The sequence below is a fragment of the Homo sapiens genome, chromosome 5 (genome assembly GCF_000001405.40).
Source record: "Homo sapiens chromosome 5, GRCh38.p14 Primary Assembly".
NCBI lineage: Eukaryota > Metazoa > Chordata > Mammalia > Primates > Hominidae > Homo > Homo sapiens.
Window position 1 is genome coordinate 109883182 of NC_000005.10, and position 23775 is coordinate 109906956.

Here is a 23775-nt window from a genome sequence, read left to right on the forward strand (position 1 = left end):
AGTAACCTGGACCAGAGAAAAAACAAGACTACCATGTCCAGCCAGCAGAATGCTATAATATGCTATGATGACTGGAATCCTTGTTAACCAATTCCAGCAACCTGTGAGTATGGATTTCAAATAAAATTATATTCATCGAGCACGCTAGATTTTGTAAGGCACCACGTATTCTCTAAGTGAGCGATAAACAGTTGTGACAGACTAGAACAGAAGAGAGGGTTAAAATTGCAAGAGACCTTAGAGGTTGTGTATTTTAATGTTTGTTGTAATCATCTGCATCAGAATCAGCTTAAATGTATGAACAAGTAGATTCTTGGACCCTAGTCTTTATCAACTGAATCACAAATCTCTAGTGATAGACTCTGGATATGTTTTTATTTTTTATGTATTTTTTAATTTTTTTAAACCAGTAATTTTTAGTATGTAGTCATTTCCAAAGTTGACAAAGAAATAGATTAACTATCCCAATTAGTTGTATTGACTGCAGAAAATGTTCACTACTGTGTTGTAGAAATTGTTTTTTTCTAAATTAATAGGATGGTTGTACTAAATATTTGGGATAGACACATCATGTTTAAATATTTTAATCCCTAAGCATAAAAAAAAATCAGAAGCAAACTAGGATTGAGCTGTCAGTCTGGGATTTATTATTGAATAAGGGTAATCTCCTCCTGCTGGGCTGTCACCAGCCTATCGCCTCCCCGTTGAGACCAGCATGAAGGTCGAAGCTCACACCACCTCTGCAGACTCATTTCACCCCTCACCTGCCTACGGTCACCTGTGTGGTTGGTAAGTCCTTGAGCCCTCAAAGGCCTAATAACGTAGATGAGTTCAGATCCAGAATCATCAGGGATCTGTAACTTTGGAGTGAGAAATTGGTTTTCAAAGCAAGAATCCAGCTGGGGAAAATCTATAATGGATAAATATTTAAATGACACAAGGGTTTTAAGAAATTAAAAGAATGTGAAATGAAGTGAGTTGTAAACAAAACCTCCATGCCCTTCTTTTCCGTGTGCCTCAGTTACCCTCGTGCCTGACAAGGCTTTGCCCACGGAGCCCAGGGGACCCTCAGCGACGGGCTGCTGTGGTCGTCCAAGTGATGGCCTCTGTCAGGACTCATTCAGTCCCCAAAACAGGCCCGAGTTTCGTCTGAGTTTTCACCTTAAACCCCACACGGTCGTCCTGGCAGGTCATGGTAAGATAGAAAGCCTTGCAAATAAGTCAGGTTATCTGATCTGAATTTTTCCCTTGTCAGCCCGGGCCAGAAACAAATACCCAAACGCAGCATTTGAGGGATTTCTACTTGTCTGTTGCCTCCTCGAGAACAGCACGTAACTGCAATGCAGCCTGTACAGGAGGACGGAGGGAAGGAAAAGCCAGAGCCAGGTCTTGAGCTGAGGAGGGCAGAGTCTTGCGGAGGGCCCTCAGGACTGGGTGATGCTGTGAGGGAGCATGAACCCCGTGTCCCTGAGGGTCCTGAGCGCCACTCGGCCATTGGGTCGGATCACCAGGTGGGTGATGCTGCCATTGTTGAGGGAGCAATGGAGCCAGCCTTCGGGAGGAAACTGCAGCGCTGTGTCCTGTCATCTGCAGCGAATGACACTGGCGTGACATCGGAAGATCTCCTAATTATCCTCCCCCTGCTTGGCATCCCCCGAGGGATGTAGTTTCGGAGCGCTCCCTCGATCCGGACTCCATCTTCATAGCATGCCCAGCGGCCGCTTCCAGTGATACGCTGCCAGGCTGGCTTGACGAGGAGGGTTCCCGCCCCAGGTCTGTGCGGCCTTTGAAGACGCTTGGCAGGTGCCTGTTGCTGAAGCCAGTGGTTTCTATGGGGTGGGTCATGGAGGAATGGACGATTTTATTAAACCTCAACCCCAAGCTTGCAAGTCGGAGTCCAGTTAGTTCGACCTGTTCACGACCCAGTGGGTTCAGACTGCAGTCCTTTTCCAGGGAGCCGTCCACATGGTATTGGGAACGCATGACGAGGAGGGTGTGCCCTGTGGCCTTGGCTCTGCAGTGGTCCAGCCTGGAAGCCAGCTATTCTCCAGATTCCACGTTCCTCTTCCTTAGGTTGTTCAGAGACAGTGGTTCTTGCCTGTCCCGGTCGGGGTCCCAGACGCTGAGGCTCGGCCGCGTGCCCCACGCCCAGGCCGGCGCCTCGGCTGCGCGCGGCTTCCCCACTGTGCCAGCGAAGCAGAACCCCGGGACCAAGCCCCTGGCCAGCCCGCAGACTGCCAACCTCAGCACCTGCTGGATCCCGGGGCCGCCCGCTCCCGCTCAGGTCCCAGGCGCTCAATGCCTGGCAGGCGCGCCGCCTCTGGATATGCTTTTAAATAACAGAGTTGGGCCGGGCGCAGTTGCGCAAGCCTACCTGTAATTCCAGCCATACAGGAGCTCCACACCAGCCTGGGCAACAGAGCGAGACTACAAAAATGAAGATAAAATAAATTGGAGTGTGGTGGCACGTCCGTGTCATCCCAGCTACTAAGGAGGCTCAGGCGGGAGAATGGCTTGAGCCTGGGAGTCCAAGGCTGTAGTGAGCTATGATGGCGCCTCTGCACTCCAGCCTGGGCGACAGAGCAAGACTCTATCTCAATAAATAAGTAGGTAAGTAAGTAAGTAAGTAAATAACTGATCTGTTTTGTGCCACCTATACCACTTTTCTAGTCCTAGACTTCATTTAGCAAATGAGAAAACCAAGGTGTAGAAGCGCAAATGATTTGCTCCTGATTACTCCACTAGTTAGTGGAAGAGCCAAGATTGTATCTAATAATAGTCTTTCATAATTTGTTAATTGAGAGGGAGAGTGGAGAGACGATGGGGATGGTTTATGAGATATACCAGGCTGGTTAATCTTGTCTTTTAGTCACAGGATGCCCATTCCCCTCCCATACTCCACCCCCATGACTCTCTTAAAGTTATCGTTCAAATGAGTGTGGCAAGGTTCGTGAACACTTTCAGCTGGGGGTGAGAATTCTCAGTCCCTTGACATAGGAATTTTCAGCATATCCCAATAATTAGATTCCGGAAGAACTTGTAACCCAAACTCATACATAGGACTGCTTTATATTGGAACACCAACTTTCTGCATGTTATGGAACACATAGCTCCAGAACCGAGATCAGTTGTCCATCTACAAATGTCACTCCCTTTTATTTGATGAGTTAACTGAGGAATACTTATTTCCATATCAGCAGACAACTCTAAATATATAACATATAAACCTCTGTGTTTATATGTTTGTTTTCCCCCAGAAAAGGAAGTTGGCTTTCAGTCCAGAAATTATTATTATTATTTTATTTTTTGAGAGACAGAGTCTCACTCTGTTGCCCAGGTTGGAGTGCAGTGGCATGATCATTGCTCACTGCAAACTCGGAGTCCTTGTCACAAGCAGTCCTCCTGCCTTGGCCTCCTAAAGTGTTGGGTTTACAGGTGTGAGTCACTGTGTCTGGCCCAGAGATAATATTTTTCATAAGACACAGTTGGAAGCAGATGCAGTTACTAGAGGTCCCTTTAGTTCTACTCCGCTGTTTTCCTAAGTGCAATGCAGATTCTTGCCTTTGTATCTGCAGAAGATTTTCACGCTTTCCAAATTTCACTTCTCTTCAGTGAAATGCTTTCTCATTTCTAGAGTTATTCTACAGCTGGCTTTCACCTACCGTTTATATGTTTATGCTCATTTTTATGTCAGCATTGCATTGAACAAACAAGGGACAATCAAAACAATTTTTTTGACAACTGCTGCAAGCACAACCACTCTGAGGGCAAGTTCTTCTCTGTCCCAGATGAAATGAGGGGCAGGTGCCATTGACTTTCCTGGTTACTCTTAGAAAATAAAATATCTTCTACATAGTTTAATCTCCAGAGTAATCTCAGTTTAGTAACCTGGATGTCCAGCCAAAACTCCAAATTTCATCCAAAGTTAAAATTTCTTTCCTCCTCCAGCATTGGCCTGTCAGGGCCCAAGGTGGAAAAGCAAGCGGGGAGTGATTGGCTTCATGACTCTGTCACTTCTCCCCTGCCCTCCTTCCCAGGTCCCTGACAAGGTAAGAGGAAGGGAGGGGAGGCAAGAGGTTGGGAGGAAGCCTTATTGACTCACATCAATCTATGATAGACATTTACAGTTGATTTTGTCCTGGAGCATCTTCATAGGTTCTTTGGGGACATCCATTGCTGGAAGTCTCCCTCGATGTGGGCACGTGCTTCTGCTAATCACTTTGCCTTTATCTGACAGCCCCCTGGGTATATTGTGGTACACCTCCATTTTTAAATGCCATTGCTTCCTAAGATGTAGCCCATTTTTCCTTTGAGCACCTGGTAGGCATCCAGCCCTAGCCATAAAATTAACCTTTAGATCTCTCAGGCACTAGTCACATACCAGTCTGGTATCAGAGGTCACATCACAGGTTCTCCTGGTGGTTGATTTTGAAGTCTCCTCACTAGATTTGAAGTCAGGAGAAGGCAACATTCATCCCTTTCCCAGTCAGGAGTGGAGAGTGCAGGAAGAGTTGAGACTCAGCACTATACCAATTATTCCTAAATACATTTTTTTCTCTAATTGCAATTTTCCAAGCATTTAATTTCATTTTCTATTCTTTTTCTGAGAGAGGCTAAGGGTTGCAAAACCAGATTTAGACTACATCCATTACACTTTCTCCATAAATAGCCTTGTATATCATTTTGGAACCTGGAAGCAGTTGTTTCTACCTATTGCCTTGGGACCTCGGCCTAAACTGAGACCAAATCTCATTTACGGATCTGTACAACTAGATGGAAATGGTGTATACTTCTGAGCTCTCACCTATCTCTGCAATTTCCTGATGTTTGGGACTTTCTCTTTTCCCGTCCTCTCCTACATGATAAGGGCCTCCACTTTCTGTGAAGTCACCCCCATAGCATCTATTTCATGTCATCACTCATTCTTTGATTTTGCAGCTCTTTCCAATTTGATATTTCCTTGCTTCATATCCCTCCACCCTCAAACTTAGGGATTTTTAACTTCTGTTTGTGCTATCCATTCAATGCAAGATTCCTGTTTAAAAAAAGGTAAGGACTATAGTTCTTAGAAAGAGATGTTAGAGAAATTTTTCCAATATCCTGGGCCCGTGGTCCCCTTGGTACCTCATCATCCAGGCCCCTGCAGATTCCTGCTTTCTTCAAGGGAACTCTGCCTGCTTGCAGAGACAGAGGAGACCCTTTTGTTTTTGCCTACAGAAGTGTGGTTTCAATCACTGAAAGGAAGCACGTTGTGAATTCTATTTGCCAGTTGTATTTCAGCTTGTATGTGCTTACTTTGTTCCACTTCTTTACTTGCAGCAGAAGAATAAGGCAAACATTTAAAAAAATTCCTTTGATGAAACAACACAAAACAAGCATAGCCATTTATTTCAGACCAAAATTTTTTGAAGTATTATATTTATTGTCAAAAAGAAAATAGTGGAAATAAATTAAGATGATGTAGATGCAGAGCTAAGAAGACAGTCAGATCAATACACTGAATTATATTGTTATCAATTACACATTTGGCCACATGATTAATGTTATAAATGCTTTCAACTTTCCTCTAGATCCCAAAAAGAACGTTTCATTAGACTAATATACATTGGAAAATAATTTGAATTTAGGAAGCTAAATATTTAGAACAATTTTGATTAGACTGCATGTAAAAGAGGGTTTATATATTCACCATTAGTAATTCCCAATCTAATATTGCCAATGAGGAAACTCTGAACAGCTGTCATCTAGAATTCTAAAATATCACTCGTTGATAAATGTGCAACATAAGCACCATAGCTCAACAAAATGAAGTGCAATTTTCTCTTCAGTCAGAGAAAAGAGCAAGTTCAAGATTAGTTATGCATTAAACAGTCCATTTGGGAAGGCTAATTAGGGAGAGAGAGAGAAGACCTTGAAATAGAAGTCACCAGAAAAAGCTAGCAGATGAGTCTTTTTGGAGACTTAATTTGTCCTTTGTCACAGGCAGAACACCTGTGCAAAGTGCATGTTGCCCTCATCCAAAGTCTGGTTATGAGGTTCAGAAGGTTTTCTGATGCCTGATGAAAGAAACAAAACAATAGTAGCTCATGAAATTGTCTTTAGAGGTGCTGAGGCCTTTTGGACATCAGGTTTCCAAAGTGATATAATAGGTGTGCAAACTCAATTCCAAAAAAAAGACATGGGCACAAGATTTTGGCTTGTTCTCGTTTTCCCTAGTACTTTAGAAGGCCTGAGAATGAATAGAACATACTGCATTTAAGAGAGTCACATTTTTGACAGGAAATCTAGCACGTGGAAAAAAAATCTAAATTCTTTCCAATTTAAATACACTCAGATTAGTATAGCTCTCACTCCAACCAAGTACCAGTGCTCCCAGAAGCTGCCCCAGTTTAATATCACATGCTATTCTTTACAGAACACTAATCAAGGACAAGAAAGAAGTTATTCTTGTGTAAGTTGCATTTACTTTAGTATCACTAATGTGTTTCTTTCTTGAAAATCTAGACAATGTTTTTCTTAACAAAATTGTTTTAGAGTTTTGGTATCCCGTTTCCTCAATATTATCCCATACAAGCTAAATGAAACAAAAAGTTCTGGAGGAGTGTTGGTTGTCCATTATTGGAAGAGGGGGATCCCAGAATTAGTGATAATTCTATGAAATATCTCTGAGCAGATTGTCCTAGACCTGTCTTTACTAAGGAATGGAACAAATGCCCTTAAGAAAAGACCAGAATCATAAGTTAAAGTGTTTTTTCTTAGAGCCTTTTTTTCTGAGCAGTTAGCAGTCTAGCCTTGAAGCAAGATAGGCCAAAAGCTGTGCTCTTAAACTCTACCAGTGTCAAGAACTCTCAGAAGATCTATTAAAATCCAAGGCCATGTACATTCTCTTAAGAAAATCTGTTTTTTAATATAAAATCTCTTTTTCATTTCCAAGTAGCAGGGCTAAGGAAGGCCGCTTCTGATGATTTCATAATGAGGCTTAGTGAATGGTTGAACTTGCCCACTCTTCTGAGCTCAGGTTAGGCAGTGTCTAGCAGCTACGAGAACTGCTCTGGGGGTCATCCTGCTCACTGCTCTTTAACCCTCTCCTCAAGTCTTTCTTCCCTTACAAAGGGAGATTTCTTGGTCTCATGGGAGAAAAATATCCTGTTGACCTGAGTGTGTGTGTGTGTGTGTGTGTGTGTGTGCTGTAAGTATATACTTCTTGCAAAAAAGTTCCAAATCTCTACAGTCTACAATCTCAGCCATGGAAATCATCTTGTTCATCTTTTATTCCCACAACCGGGGATAATATCCAAAACATTTAACAACAAATATGGCTTCTTCACAGGTTATCCAAACGGCACCGGCAATAGTGCTGGAGTAGAGACCTGAAGGCCCCATTTGTGTCTCTGGTTGGAGGGTAATGGAGAGGTGTGGATAGATGGTCATGGGAAACACTGGGTGGGCTCCAGAAGTGGTTATTCACCAACTCGTAGTAAAGTATTTTAATAATTTAACGATCAATACAACTGTTAGCACTGTGCACTGCCCCAATAGAACCCCTGTTCATAGCACTATGAGGTGGAGATTATAACCTCTGCTTTATAGCTGTGGGAACTGAGGCTCAAGGAGATTAAGTAATTTTTCTATGGTTACTCAACTAGAAGGAAACCGGGAGAAAGGGAAACCTGAAGAGTAAGCCAGGCTTATAAGATGGTCGACCAAGCACAGGCTTTTCCTGCTCCTCTATGCAGCACCTGTTAGCCAGGCCCACATTTATCCAGCTCCTCAGTATCTGGTCTGTTAAATCAAGTTTAGAAATAACCTTTGACCTTCTCTCATTCTGTGAGGTTGGCCTGGCTGGAAAAGTCTGTGAGAAGACCATACAGGTGGGTGCACCTCTATAAAGTAAAGGTTGTTACTGCCTTACCCAGTCCCCTCCAAGCTTCAGGAGACCCTGGCTGTTTTCAGGCTGTACAAAACCCCTTCAATGGCTGCTTTGCTGAATGACATGGAAGTCTGTGAGACCATCTTTTCTGAGATTGCTTTGGCAACAAGAAGTTGAAATATACTCTCTAGAAAGGATTTTTTCCCTTTTTCCTTTCCTTTCCAAAGATCAATAAAGTATACAAAGGAAATACATTTTCTTTATTTTAAAAATGTCTCTACATTTTAAAAAATTTGTCATTGACTATAAAATTAACTAATACTTATTGTAAGCAAGTGTGAAAAAAACTGGTTTGCAAATTACTTAATAAAATTAGTTACACTCCTACTACCTGTTATTATATTTATTGACATATATACTCCTGAAATCATATTTTTCAGCATTTTAAAGTTTTTTTAATTATTAATTTTTAAAAGTCACTTTGAAATAATTTTATGAGTTTTTTCCTTTTTTATTACATTATCTTTGCAATTTATTTAATTATTCCTTTATGATTGAATGTTGAGGAAATTTCCAGTTTTTCCTCATTATATATAAGGCTTCATTCAAATCCTAATATCATGAATCTCTTACTTATCATGCACTGTTTCCTTAGGTAAAAATCCTAAAAATTGAGATTACAGGAACAAGAGAATTAATATATTGCACAGTTACTTTCCAGAAAGACAGTGCCAATCTGCACTTCCATCATAGTATATTAAAGCACCTGTTTCACCTCACTCTTTCCAACACTGATAATTTCCGTGATAAAAAAAGATAGTATCTTTTTTTTTAAAAAAAGTTCAGTTTATTTTTATTTTTTATTTTTTTTAGAGGGAGTCTCACTCCGTCACCAGGCTGGAGTGCAGTGGCGTGATCTTGGCTCACTGCAAGTTCTGCCTGCCAGGTTCAAGTGATTCTCCTGTCCCAGCCTTCCAAGTAGCTGGGACTACAGGCGCATGCCACCACTCCCAGCTAATTTTTGTATTTTTAGTAGAGATGGGGTTTCACCATGTTGGCCAGGATGGTCTCGATCTCTTGACCTCGTGATCTGCCCACCTTGGCCTCCCAAAGTGCTGGGATTACAGGTATGAGCCACCATGCCTGGCCAAAAGTTCAGATTTTTAAAGCACTAACTATAGCCAGTTTACTGAGCTTAGTATTTTTAACCTGTTATTTCCCTTTAATATTGACTAAACCTGATGGAATAATTATTGTTTCTATACTAGAGATGAGGACCTTGAGGCAGAGAAGAAGTACTTGGCCTGAGGGCATACCTGCAGTAACGGCCAGTGTCAAGGTTGCACTGGGGTGCTTTCAGGGCTGGTTCTCTCAACCTCTCTGCTGTGCTGCTTTGCTCTGCACTACTGTGATCTGGTGAAGAGCAACACATTTTTAACATTCACTTTTCCCCCAATTACAAAAGTATTATAAGGCCATTGAAAAAGAGTGGATATCCAGAAAAGCCTAGAAAAGCAAAAATCAACCTATCCAGGATCAACTACATGTATTACACATATTTGTGTACTATCTAATTTCTCTCTTTCTGTGTACTCTGTGTATACATATATGTGTGTCTGTGTGTGTGTGTGTGTGTGTGTGTGTGTGTGTGTGTATGTGTATATATATATATATATATATATATATATATATATATATATGTATATACAGTTGATTCTTGAACAATGCAGGGTTTAGGACATCAACCCCCTGCATAGTTGAAAAATCTGTGTGTAACTCTTTATTCCCCCAGAAGATGACTACCAATAGCCTACTGTTGACCAGAAGCCTTACTGATAACATAAGCAGATTAACACATATTTTCTAGGTTATATATCTTATATACTGTATTCTTACAATAAAACAAGCTAGAGAAAAGAAAATATTATTAAGAAAGTCATTAAAAAGAGAAACTATATTCTCCATTCATTAAATGGAATTGGATTGTAATGAACATTTTCATCCTCATCATCTCCACACTGAGTAAGCTGAGAAAAAGGAGGAAGAGGAGGAATTGGTCTTGCTGTCTCAGGGGTCGTGGAGGTGAAAGAAAAACCACATATAAGTTGCATATAAGTGGATCATATAGTTCAAATCTGTGTTATTCAAGGGTCAACTGTATATATATATTATAGATATTATCACATTGTTTAAGTTGCTTGATGACCTGCAGTATATGTCATTCAATAGTCTTGTACAAAATGATTTTAAATGGATACTTAGTGTATTAGTCCATTTTCACACTGCTGATAAAGACATATCCAAGACTAAGTAATTTATACAGGGAAAGTGTTTAATGGATTTACAGTTCCATGTGGCTGGGGAAGCCTCACAATCATGGCGGAAGGCAAAGAGGAGGAGCAAGTCATGTCTTACATGGATGGCAGCAGGCAAAGAGGGAGCTTGTGCAGGGAAACTCCCATTTTACCATCAGATCTCGTGAGACTCATTCACTATCATGAGAACAGTGCAAGAAAGACCCACCCCCATAATTTAATCACCTCCCACTGGGTTCCTCCCATGACATGTGGGAATTGTGGGAGCTACAATTCAAGATGAGATTTGGGTGGGGACACAGCCAAACCATATCACATAGCATTTTATTAAGTGGAATACCAAAATTTAATTAAATAATTCCATAGCATTGTACATTTAAATTTTTACAATTTTTTCATTTATAAGTATCTTCAGTAAAGATATGTATAATGAGGAAGTTCATTCTAGCATTGATTGTAAAAGTAACAAAAGTTTAAACCACCTAAATGCTTACCTACCACAGAATGGTTAAAATTAAGCTAAATTAATATATATGCACTTGTTTAATAAATGAAATAAATCAACATGTGTTTTACTAGGAAAAGGTGTACAATACACACAACCCTTCATCACACACACACACACACACACACACACACGTATATCTATGTGTTAACCCCTCTTAACACACAGACGTATATCCCTTGGATATCTTAGGCCAGACCTGTGCTTTAACAACTATAGCTTTCTACAGGTTCAAGAAAGTTATGCTATCAGTTTTTCTTCTTTTTTTCCAGCAAGTTGTTTGCTTCCTTTCTACTCGATTCTTCCTAATGATATTAAATATGTCTAAATCTTTCCTATATTAAAAAATGAAGGGGGAATAAAAAAGCTCCCTAGACCCCTCATCTCCCTATAGATTATCTCCTTATTTTTCTTCTACCTTTCATAGCTATGATAGATTGGAATATTTTTCTTACCTACTGTGTAATAGAATTACATATTCCTTACCATCATGTTATGGTCCTTTCTTTTGTGCCTACTGAAGGAGGAATATGTGTCTCTCTGTTGTAGGTGAGCATTTATTCATAGGTAGTTTGAGGTTTTGTTATTTTTACAGTCAATGCTGCAATCATCTTCCTTATACATACATCTTTACTGAAGATATTTAGAAATGAAAAAATTGGAAACACTGAAATGTGCAATGCTATGGAATTATTTAATTAAATTTTGCTGTGACCTGGACTTTGGGCTTGGCCGTTTGCTTTGGCCAAGGCCACATTTTCATGTATTAGCAGAAGCTTTAAATACCATGACTTGGTTTCTCTCATATTTTTATCCTCCACTATGAGCACAGAATATCTCAGTAGCTTCTCCTTCAGCTTGGATCCCAGAATGGAAATACATGCATAGTTGAGTGGAGCCCAGTCAAACCCAGCAGAACTATAGCTGGTCCACTGAAACAAATGTTTGTTGCTCTAAACTACAAGGATCCTGAAGATGTTTATTATCACAGCAAAAGTTGATTAGCACAATAGCTAAACCTCTTCAAAGAATTGTCCATATTCACCATTTTTATTTCTTTATTTCCTGGTCTTTTTTCCAATTCACTCCATATGACTTTGCCCCAATTGTCTCACTGAAACAGCCCTTGCTATAGTCAGTAATAAGCTCAATAATGCTATATGCAACGGATACATTTTAAAACTCACTAGGCTTTTCACCTACCTCAATGGCCATTTTGTTCTGTATCTTTTGCAGGCTCTTCTCCTTCTACCCAGAAATTACATGTTGACATTCTTCTCTTAGAGTCTATCTTTTTCTCATGTCATACTTTTTTCTTAATCTCAACCAAGTTCAAAGCTTCAGTTACTATTATTATGTAAATATAATATTTAGCCCAGACTTATACATTTAACTACTTGAAATAAAAGTTTCTCACTTGAACATGATCAGGACTGAATCCATGATCTTCCCTTAGACTGGTACTTTTCCATTGTTCTTACTGTGATGAATGGTACCACCTTCTATTCATTCAGTTGCACAGGAATAAAACTTAGGCAATGTTCCTTTCCCTTACATCATCCCCATATCCATACTAAAAGCATTGTTGGTATCACCTCCAAAAAAATCTGTTTCATTTATAAGATTGATGCAATCACCATTTTAGCCCAAGTTACCATCATCTCTTGTCTAAGTAATGCTCTGTGCTTAATTGCCATCTTCTCCTGAGGAATCCATTCAAAGTTTCAATTGGATTTTAACACATCCACTGGGCTTGGGATAAAGAATAAAGACCAAAATCCTCAGCGTAATGACCAAGGCTCTTCATGCCTAGATGCTACGTCTTCCTCAAGCTTCCTCTCTTACTCTCTCTCCTCATTTTTTATGACCAAGTCATACCAGTCATTTCCAGTTTCTGAATGTGCCTTCTCTTTCCTAACACAGAGTATTTGCGATGGCCATTTCCTGTCTTTTGAACGTTCTTTTCCATCTCTCTACTTTCACTTAAGTTCTACTCATATTTCAGATTTAATTTCTTTAGGGAAGCCTTCCTAACTCCCCACACTTGGGATCAGTTTCATTTGTCATATGACCTCATAAGACAACCTTTTTATCCCTTGGGATGATTGTCTTAGTCCATTTGTGTTGCTATAAAGGAATACCTGAGGCTGCATAATTTATAAAGAAAAGAGGTTCATTTGGCCTATGGTTCTGCAGGCTGTACAAGAAGTGTAGTGCCAGCATCTACTCTGGTGAGAGCTTCAGGCTGCTTCCACTTATGGTTGAAGGCAAAGTAAAGCTGCCATGTGCAGAGATCACATGGTAAGAAAGGAAGCAAGGGAGAGAGCGAGAAGGCGCCAGGCTTTTCTTAACAATTGGCTATCCTGGGAACTAATAGAGTGAGAACTCACTCACTACCTTGACGATAGCACCAAGCCATTCATGAGGGATCCACCCCGTGACCAAAACACATCCCATGTGACCCTGTACCCAACCCTGGGGATCAAATTTCCATGTGAGGTTTGGGGGAACAAATATCCAAACCTTAGCACTTAACTTCGTTTGAGAGTCTACATTAATATTAGTTGACTTATTTCTGTAATGTCTTCCTTCCTTGTTACATCATAAACCCCACAATAGTAGAGTTCAACTGTTTTTACTTACCACTGTATTCCTTCCCCTTAGTAGATATGCAATAAAAAATTGATGGATGAGTATAAATATATACTTAAATTAAAAATAAATTATAGAAGAGTGTGAGCTGATTGTATTCTTTTTAAAATAAATGCATATGCGTATGTGCCGGTATCCATCACTACCTGCAACTTTATCATCCAATATAAGAAATAGAATGTATTCAAATGTTAGGGGATATTTGCGTGTATTTTTGTGTAAAATATAAAAAAAGTCTTGGGATACCTAAAAAGTCAAACATTTGTAAATGTCCTCTCTAAATAATTAAACTTTAGTGAGAATCTTTATCAATCTTTAGACAAATCTCTGATTATTTCCTTTAGGTAAATTTTGAGAAGCAAAATTACTAAATCTAAGTGTGTCTGCCTATATATGTTCATGCATATTGCCATTACTTATCTAATGATAAGGAGCCCAGTGACTGGGCTAGCCCTAGGAATCAATAGGAATAAAAATAAAAATAAATATAGAAAACATATAAAATAAAAAATAAACATATTTTGTTCTATTTTGATTATTATATTGGGTAATTCCTTAAAAGTCACTCCACATCTAAGGATCTGATAAATATTAAATATATTTCTCTTCATTTATTTGAGGCGAATTTTAAACATTTCACTCTTTAAGCCATCAGAAGTTTTATTTGCTTGAGGTTACTTTTTTCCCACTAAATAGTGATCTAATTATCCCTGCACTATTTATTGAAGAGTCATCCTTTTCCCTATTAAGCTGTGATATTACATTTATCTTACACTAAATCATTATATATACTAGTGTTGGTTTCTTGGATATTTGTTCTGTCCTATTGATATTTGTACTTTCATGAACCAGTACATACTACTTTATTCATTTAAGCAAGGATCATAGGGTTACTATAAAAGAGTTACTACCTATGCTTTAATGATCATTAAAAAAACTTACTTGTTTTAAGTAATTGAAAAGTTACTAAGATATATAAGTACATGATTTACTTATTTACCTTTCATTACCTCCAAATTTGAAATATTTTACAGAAATGTGCATTGTACAGTGGAATAAAAATAAATGAAAACATTTGTAAGAATTAAGATTAATTTAGGAGTGAGGTTAACATATGAAATCATTTCCATAAGGAACTAAAGTTACTTTAGAATAGATCATATATTGTTTCTAGATGTGATCAAAACAAAGAAAAAAAAATGTGACCAGTTACAAGATTCCAAGTTTATCCTTAGAGTAATTTTTTAAAATTATTATTTTTTGAAGTCCCACTCGCCTGGTATTGAAACCCAAAAGTGGTGGTAAGCAGCCTTGATTATATCCCTGCAGTTGGCAGGTGAGTCTCTCTCACTGTGCTTCCAAAGCATCTTGTGTCACTATCCAACACTGACTGCGTTGTGCTACAATAGTCATGCATGCTTTGCTCTGTCCCCACCAACGTGACCCTCCCAGCCCCAGCCTGTAACCTTCTTTGATGCCTGTTTTCATAGCCCTTGTGTCTGGCACAGTGCTTGGAACAGGAGAGGGTTCAAAATTGTGGGGGGAAAGGGGGAAGAAAAAGCAAACTGAGAGATGGGAAAGAGGGAGGGAAAAGGAAGTTATCTAGGATTCCACATGGATTTGTTTGAAGTTAGCACTAACATGTTGGTGCCTCTGCCTTCATATTCCATGCTTCTAACTTATTCCTGGCACCATCCTGGTCCCAAATTCTGTTCCCATCCCTCAGAGCAATAGAAATGGATTTTAACCTCTCTGCTTACTGTCCCCAATCCCAGTCCTGACAGTACACTGTCTACGCTCATATTAGATAGCACAAGATGATTTTTATTGTGAACGTGTTGGGATTTCAGGGCTAGAATCATTCCAGTTAATAGTGTGACATTAGGAGTTGATAGATTTACCATCAGCCTCGGGAGCTAAGTCAAGCTCACTCATCTGCCTTTAGCGATGCTGTAACTTTGTTCAAAAGGACCACTCAGAAAGCAGAGCTGCCGGCTGCTCGCTCACAGCTCCTTAGATAAGGCAGGCCCATTCCGTTGGCTTATTTTCTGAGCATAATGTGCTCATAGCATCTGTCAAAATTCATTGCTTATAAAAGACAAGGACCTACCTTAAGCCAGCTTAAGTATGAAATGAAACTCATGTAACTAACTTGTGTAACTCATGCAACTGAAACCTCCAGGAAAAGTTGAGCAGGGGCTCAAATCAAACCGTGTCATCAGGGCTCTCTCTCACTTCTGTTCCTCTGTGCTGGCGTCATTCATAAGTAAGTCCTCTCCACATAGTGAGCCCAGCATTTTCAGCATAACAACCCTGGCAGAAAACATCTCTTTTCATTTTATTTTCCTTTTTTCAAACAGTTTACAGCCAAAGTCCCAGGATCTGAGACTCATTGGCCTCTCTCAAACTCAGTAACTCTATTCAGGGCATTGGAATACTCTCAATGTCTATTCTTAGAAATTCAGAATTGGAGTCAGCCCTAGCCCACCCACATAGACTGCTCATAGGCAAGGGGTGGCTCCCCAAAGGAAAATTGAATCATGGAGCAGAAATAAGAAGGAATGATGTTGGGCAGATGTGAGGTTCATTTTATGTGTCAACTTGACTGGGTCAGTGTTTGAACAGATATTTGGTCAAACATTATTCTAAGGGTGTTTTTGGAAGAGAGTCACATTTAAATCGGTAGACTGAGTCAAGTAGATTGCCCTCCCTGATGTGTGTGGGCGTCACACATAGTTGAAGGCCTGCATGGAACAAAAAGGCTGACCCTCCTCTAACTAACAGAGAATTCTTTCTGCCTGACTGCATTTGAACTGGGACGCTGGCTTTTTTCTGCCCTTGGACTCAAACTAAAATACGAGCTCTTGGCTGGGCACGGTGGCTCACGCCTGTAATTCCAGCACTTTAGGCGGTTGAGGCAGGCAGATTGCCTGAGCTTGAGAGTTCGAAATCACCCTGGGCAACATGGTGAAACCCTGTCTCTCCTAAAATACAAGTAAATTAGCCAGGTGTGGTGGTGCATGCCTGTAGTCCAAATTACTCAAGAGGCTGAGGTTGGAGAGTTGCTTGAGCCAGGGAGGTGGAGGTTGCAGTGAGCCAGGATCGCCCCATTGCACTCCAGCTTGGGCGACAGAGTGAGACTCTGTCTCAAAATAAATAAATAAATAAAACAAAATACCAGCTCTTCCTGGGTCTAGAGCCAGCATGCATTTAGGCTGGAATTTACACCATTGGTTCTCCTGGTTCTTAGTCCTTCTGACTCAGACTGGTGCTTCACCATCTGCTCTGCTGGGCTTCCAGTGTGCTTTCTCACCCTGCAGACCTTGGGGCTTGTCCGTCGCCCTAATCATGCAGACTAATTTCTTACAATAAATCCCTTTCTATATATGCATATAACCTTTTGGTTTTGTTTCTCTGGAGAACCTTGAGTAATACAGAAGGCCAGACAGTAGAAACCCTCTACACTCTCCATGTCCTCTTGCTGTGTCTTTGAAGTCCCTGTGTTCTGTCTACCCACATCTCCTTCCTATCCTTGAAATACATGTGTGGCCTATTCCAAAGCTCATTCTTATCCTCTGCTTTGAAGCCCTTCCTTATTTTACTCTTGGAGAACTCAGCATCATCCACCTTATAGTTTCACAGAGCATAAGTATTTCCCCACCATTTCCTCATTCTGATTCCACATGGATTTCTATAGCTTCCCTACCTTTAAGGGAGAAGAGACGCTTTTTTTGTGCACCCACTATGTATACAACCCTGTGTTAATGGTTTATGGAATATGGATAGGAAATACAGATGCTACTTGACTTACAATGGGGTTATGTCCTGATAAATTTGTTGGAAGTTGAAAATATTGGAAGTTAAAAACTCATGTAAAGGATAAGTCATGATTGCGGACTGTGAATGTCCCAACTCACGTGTGATGGCCATTACTGGCCTGCTGCCTTCATGCTGGGCAATTATCTTGAGTTTCATCTCAAGAGTAATTGCCTTCCTCTTCTTCTCACCAGAAGCAGGAGACACAGATGGGCATTTTGTAGACATGATGGATGCGGAAACAGGATATCCAAAAATTGCTGGCAACACAGCACACTGTCATCATGTGCCTGACTGGGAGCTGCATTTCACTGCCGCTGTCCAGCACCTCAAGAGAGTATCCCACTGCATATCTCTAGCATCGGAAAAGAGCAAAATTAAAAATGAAAAACATGGTGTTTACTGAATGCATATGCCTTTCATACTACTGTAAAGCCAAAAATAGGAAGTTGAACCATTGTAAGTCAGGGACAAAGGTACTTAGTTTCTTCTCTCAGAGTGAGAATTAGATAATCATGGTCTTCTCCCTTCCTCTAGCCTTACTTTCTGACTCATCTCTAATTAGGCAGTTCACAATATTTCTTGAAGACACACATTATCCCCAGAACTGTTGTTAGGGTAGTGATTAAGTTCAGTGACTGGTGACAATAAACCAGAGTGATGACAGGAAAAAGCAATGAAATTAGCTTGAAGACAAGCTAGAGGCAAGTCATGCCAGAGGTTGCCCCTTAGGGTTGGTGCCTGCCATAGCAGGAGCAAAACCAAAGATGATGCCGTTGCGCCTGACTGAGGCATCAGTCACAAATGGCCCATCCCCCAAATTATCTGGTTCATCTTATAGAAGCCAAGTTGGTATGCTATAAGTGGTCAGAAGGCACAGGGTGAAGATCCGGTGTCAATGTTTACCTAATGTGAGATCATGGGAGGCCACTTTACTTCTCTGGGTTGTTTCCTCCTCTGTAACTTGAGGTACTACAAGGCTGACTTCATGGTCATGCAAGCTCTGTGCAGTCCCAGAGGAGCCCTCATGTAGAACAGCCCCACACTTGGCTTAGTGCTTTGCTGTCACTGTCTTGAATTTCTTAATGATTTTTAAGCAAAAGGCTCATCATTTTCATTTTGCACTGGGTAATTATGTAACTTGTCCTGTGGGCCAAGTCAGTGATTCCACAGGATTCCTGGGGTTGGTCTATGGACTAAGGTGCCTAAGGTCCTATTTGTTTGGGAAAAAGGTGGGTTAACCATTAAACAAAGATAAGTAAGTTTCTTTACTGAAGGACATCTCAGAGTGTTTACATGTTAATATTTTTGTCACTCTCCAGAAAAAGAAAATGAAAATCATCTTTTAAACTTATTTGACCACAAAGCTCTCCAACTTTTTTTTTTCTCAAGAAGCATCTCATATAACAAGTGACACGCAGAATACATTTTGGAGAATGTTGGCTTCACTGTTTGCTTAGGTATCTGTGAAGTCTTACAACCTGTACTTTTTTTTATTGTAATGAGTCATGGATGGAGACCAGGAGCAGGGGAAGGGGAATTAAAGCTGGAATTAAGGAGTGGAAACAGGGTCTAGTTCCACATTCAAAGATGAATAATGCTATTCTATGGCCCAGGGCTCTGTTGCAAGAAAGAGTTACACTGGTCTTGTCTCACTGAAGCCCACACAGACCTACCATTTATCTCCTCTGAATTTCTGTTTATGCTGCTTTATCTATGTAAATGCCCTGCTTCACCTCAGTCTAGTAAATTCTTATTGTTTCTTCCTCCAAAATGTATCTTGAATTTGTCTACATTTATGTCTCCCAGCTTCACCCTTGTGTAAAACACATTGTCACAAATGGAGCAATGTTATAGTTTTCTAATTCACCTCCCAGATCCACCCCATTCTCCACTTGGTACTCTGACTTGACTTCTCTTTCCTAATTGCAGACTGGCCTCATGCCACTTCCCAGAATAAAACCTGTCAAAATTCCTGCTGTTTTTAGGAGAAAATCAAGACTTCCACTCATAACTAACTGCCTTGCAAGACCTGAACCCCACCTGCTTGTCCAACTTTGTCGCAAGCTAGCCTGCCTATTGCTCCTATTCTCTGAACACAGTGACCTTTTGAGACTTTCTTGAGAGCACCAAATTATTTTTCATTTTAGGAAATGTTTACGTTCTGCTTTCAGTCTCATGAATATTCTTACCCTTGCTATGCAAATGGCTGACTCCTCTTTAGTCTTTAGGTCTTCAATAAAAATCATTTCCCTTGCAAGATCTTTCTTGACCACTTTTCTGAAGCACCTCCCCCACCCCCACTGATACCATATACCTCCTACCCCTCTTAATACTATCAGTTCATCCTGGTCATTCAATTCTTAATATCCATACATGCTATAATTAGTTGTTTACTTTCTCATTGCTAGAATGCCAATGCCTTGAAGGCAGGGATTATATCCCTCTGGTATATCCGATTCTTAACAAATGCGTGGTACATAGTAAATATTCACTGTGTATTTGTTGACTGAATGACCAAGTGAATGAATTCCTAAAGGTCTGTCTAATGCTTGTTTCCTATCCATGATGTCTCTTCTGATTTTTCCCAACAAGAAAGGATGTCTCCTTTGTCTGAATTCTCGTAGTTCTTTACCTATGACTTCTTTATAGCTCTTGTATTCAACCCCTTGGCATTATTGGTGACTTTATTTCATCCTTCTTAAGTTCCTGGAGTAGCATCTTACAGATTTTTGTATACTCCAGCTGTTCCTGGCACAGAATAGGTGCTCAATAATCCTGATTGACTTGATTTGAATAATTGAAAGAGCTTTCAATAGAACAGGCACCTAAAAAGTTGTTGAAGAAGATTATTTAAAAATAAAACAACAGCAAGCCAAAAATGGGCACATTTCCCGGCCATTTTAGGAGTCTTGGAGAACAGCCTAAACACCAATCCCCACTGATCCAAATCGGCTTCATTAAACACTCCCTGGGCCTGTGAGATGGATGGCATCTGAGCAGAGCCCTGACAGGCTGGAAGAAAAGATCTCCACCTCCAGGTGCTCCTCCACTGCTCCTGGCCCCAGTTGATGGCCCTGCCATGGAAACTTTCAAGGAGGAAACTGCTGTGAGCATGAAGACTGAGCAGTGCTCCTTTTTGCTGGCCCTTTTAGAAATTTCCTCCGATTGAGAATTAGTCCTGGATATATGTGCATAGGTGAGATTACAATAAAGACTTGGGAAAGAGGAAGGTGTCTTTCTTGGCCAGGACACTCAAACATGAGTGACTATTACCATTCTGAGTTTATTTTGTTTCATCTATAGAAGTAATAATGTATACCTGACAGGGTTGTTGTGAGGATAAAATAGGATAATATATGTCTTAATTTTATATACATATAGTAGATGCTAAATATGTGTTAGGTTCCTTCCTATCTTCCCTTCCATTTCAGGTAAGAGCTCTGTGCGTGACCTCCAGGATGGACCACATCAGGGAACATAATTTGAATTTATAGAAAGGGGAAAGTTAGATTGAGTTATATGTGTATACACATGAGTGCATATAGCTCATGTATATGTGTTATCTGACGGGAAGCTGGTACTTGCTATGCATTTTGATGTGATAAGTGAACAGCAAACAAAATGACGTGCGCCCAGAAGAGAATGCAACTGGAACCTTCATCTCAACCTGGACAGTAGTGCCTTGTGGAGATACTGTTAGTTTGTGGGAAGAAAAGTTATACAGTCTTAAAGGGGCAAAGGGTGAAATTTTCTTCTTCAAGCTAGGAATAAGAACAAGTTTCATCTGAAGCAAACTAACATCAGAAAAGTCACAATTTCTTTTTTAAAGTTTGTTTCATAGCCAGGGTGAGGGATTTCCATTGGTAGAACTAGAAGCCTTTTCATATCAGTCTCCATTATTTATTAAATGAACTTCAGAAATAGATGGATAAAGTAGTATCTGACACTTGAAAGTCTCTGCCAGATGCTGTGTTCCTAGCCCAGCAAAAGAGGGGCCAGATTACATTATGATGTCGTTTTTCTCTCTTCCTTTCTGATAATCATTTCCTGGACACAGGGGTGGAAAACAGATTACTTGGAAACAGAACATGTCTAATAGAAACTCACTTAAGGTTCAGGAAATACCTGAAACATAAAGGATTTTTTGCCGTAAATGTGATGTGACAAGTTCACCTGTGGACCAAATGAAGTAACCATAAAGGCATCCATTTGCTTGAGAATTATCCACACAGTAACCTGACTTCAGTTTTCAGATGCCTCTGGAACATTTGCTGTGGCCTTGGGTTTTTTTCGTCTATATCCATGGTATTTCTTCACTCTCTTATTACAAATGGGTAAGAGATCTAAGAAGAAAATCAAAACTAAAAGAAAAAGAAAAACACACAGAACCCCCCTCCCCCAAAATGCCCATGTTTACAAGGACAATGGATGGAATGGATAGAATTTGAGATAAATCTGTCACAATGATAGCTGTCATTTAAAATAGTTGTCTTCAAAATTTTGTTTAACTGACTTTTTTTTTTTTCTCTGTCATCCAGGCTGTAATGCAATGGCGTGATCTTGGCTCACTGCAATCTCTACCACCTGGGTTCAAGTGATTCTCGTGCCTCAGCCTCCCGAGTAGCTGGGATTACAGGCATGCACCACCTCACCTGGCTGATTTTTGTATTTTTAGTAGAGACAGGATTTTGGCTGGTTGGCCAGGCTGGTCCCAAACTCCTGGCCTCAAGTGATCTGACCACCTTTGCCTCCCAAAGTGCTGGGATTACAGGAGTGAGCCACCGAGCCCCAGTGTTTAACTGACTTTAACATGGCATGAAGTTTATTTTATGATTGTAAGTTTTGGAAAATAACACATGTATTTGCTTTGTTGTTAATGAAAGCTTACTTTAAAAAGATGCAATGAAAAGGAGATTCACTGGGAAAGAGGGCCATCTTCTCTGACATTTAATACATGAAAACACAGCAAAATGATAGGGAAATAATACACGTTCCAGAATGTTGATGTCTCAGAGACTCCTCCCCAACTATTTATTTGTTTCTTCTCTCCTCCATCCCACTAACAGTTGTTGCAGTGGCACAGCAGCACCAGGGCCATTTATTAGATGAGGCACTTTATTAGAATGGTGCTTCATTGGAATAGAGACCCACACAGTCCTTGAGTGAAGACACATGTTGGCAATAGGAAGAGGTTATTTTTCCACAAGTCATATTAAAGATGACTGGGTGTTGACACAATACAGAAAATCGCTGGTGAAGGATTTTAACCTTCTTTAGCAATGAGCAGGTCACCTCATGGAAAGATAGGACAGAGTTTTCTGAAATCTTCCCAGGAGCTTAACGAATGGATTTGAGCATGATTATAAAAATGGCTGCATAAATATTTTTCTTTGCTCATTTCAGAGCATGGTAATCAGAAAGGCTCTTTGAAAACCATATTTTTATCTGCACCTCAGATTCATCCATACCCATTAGCTGCTTAATTAGGCGAAACAAACTTTAAGTTGCATGCCAGGGGCTTAATTTAATTTGCCTGGGATAAGCAGTTGGCCATAGCTGTGAAGCCTTGTGTTTTTAGAAATTATACTAGAGTATTGAAGCAAAAACTCTTAAAATACAGTGTGGAAATTGAAGCAGACCGTAGTTCATATTGTGTGGGAAATTTAAAGAGGTCTAATAGCCAGTAAGCAGGTATGTGAGTCACATCTCCCTGATGTTGTTCACATTCCAGTTGCTTGTTTTTTCACTCTAGTCCTGTGGATTCTAAAGTAGTACAACTCAAGTGACATCAGTTCATGAAGACAAAAGAAGCTTTTTGTTTGATTTTGGCTGGGTGGGTGTTTTGTTCAGGCAAGTATTGAGCAGAAGAAAAAATGTCTTTATAAATCCTTAGCTTAATGGATTTTTAAAAAATCAAATGTAAATTCTATTAAACTACTTTTCAGTTATCACATAATTTACTTAGGCATTTCTGCATAGCAAAATATATTTGGTCTAAATGCAAAGGGAAAAAAGTGATTTAACTTTGCAAGAAACTGTTCCTTTGTTTTTTTAAAAATAAGTATTTTTAAATTTTATGGGTACATAGTAGATGTATTATTTATGAGGCACTTGAGTTATTTTGATATAGGCATACAATATGTAATAATCACCTCAGGGTAAATGGAGTATCCATCACCTCAAGCATTTATCATTGCTTTGGGTTACAAACATACCAATTATACTCTTTTAGTTATTTTTAAAAGTACAATAAATTACTGTTGACTATACTTGTCTTTTGCTTTTAATCATTTAAAATAACATCCAAGACACAATTCTTGTAAAAAGGAAAGTTAGAAAGTTGATTTTTTACAGCATGTAAAATAAGTATATTTAGGTATGTAGCACCTTCCTGGAATAATAGGGGAGTCAATAGCAAAGCCTGTGTCCATTGTGTGTCACTGATGCATGTGTTGTGTAGAAAATCAGGAGGAACTATGGATAGGGCTCAGGGTATGAGTGCTGGCTCCGAACCTGATATTAGCTGTGACTTGAGACAAGTCACTTGACTATGCTGTCTTAATTTTCCAGTATGTGAAAAAGTGAAAGAAATAATATGACTTATTTAGCCCACA

At 39.9% G+C, this 23775-nt stretch overlaps 1 long non-coding RNA gene and 1 pseudogene across 1 annotated transcript; one reads left to right on the forward strand and one right to left on the reverse strand.

Moving 5' to 3' along the window:
* On the forward strand, positions 1 to 1722 carry LINC01848 (long intergenic non-protein coding RNA 1848). The gene is made up of 3 exons (NR_033175.2): positions 1 to 103; positions 690 to 789; positions 1256 to 1722. It is a non-coding gene; the product is annotated as a long intergenic non-protein coding RNA 1848 (long non-coding RNA).
* Positions 905 to 2314, reverse strand: PGAM5P1 (PGAM family member 5, mitochondrial serine/threonine protein phosphatase pseudogene 1; annotated as a pseudogene).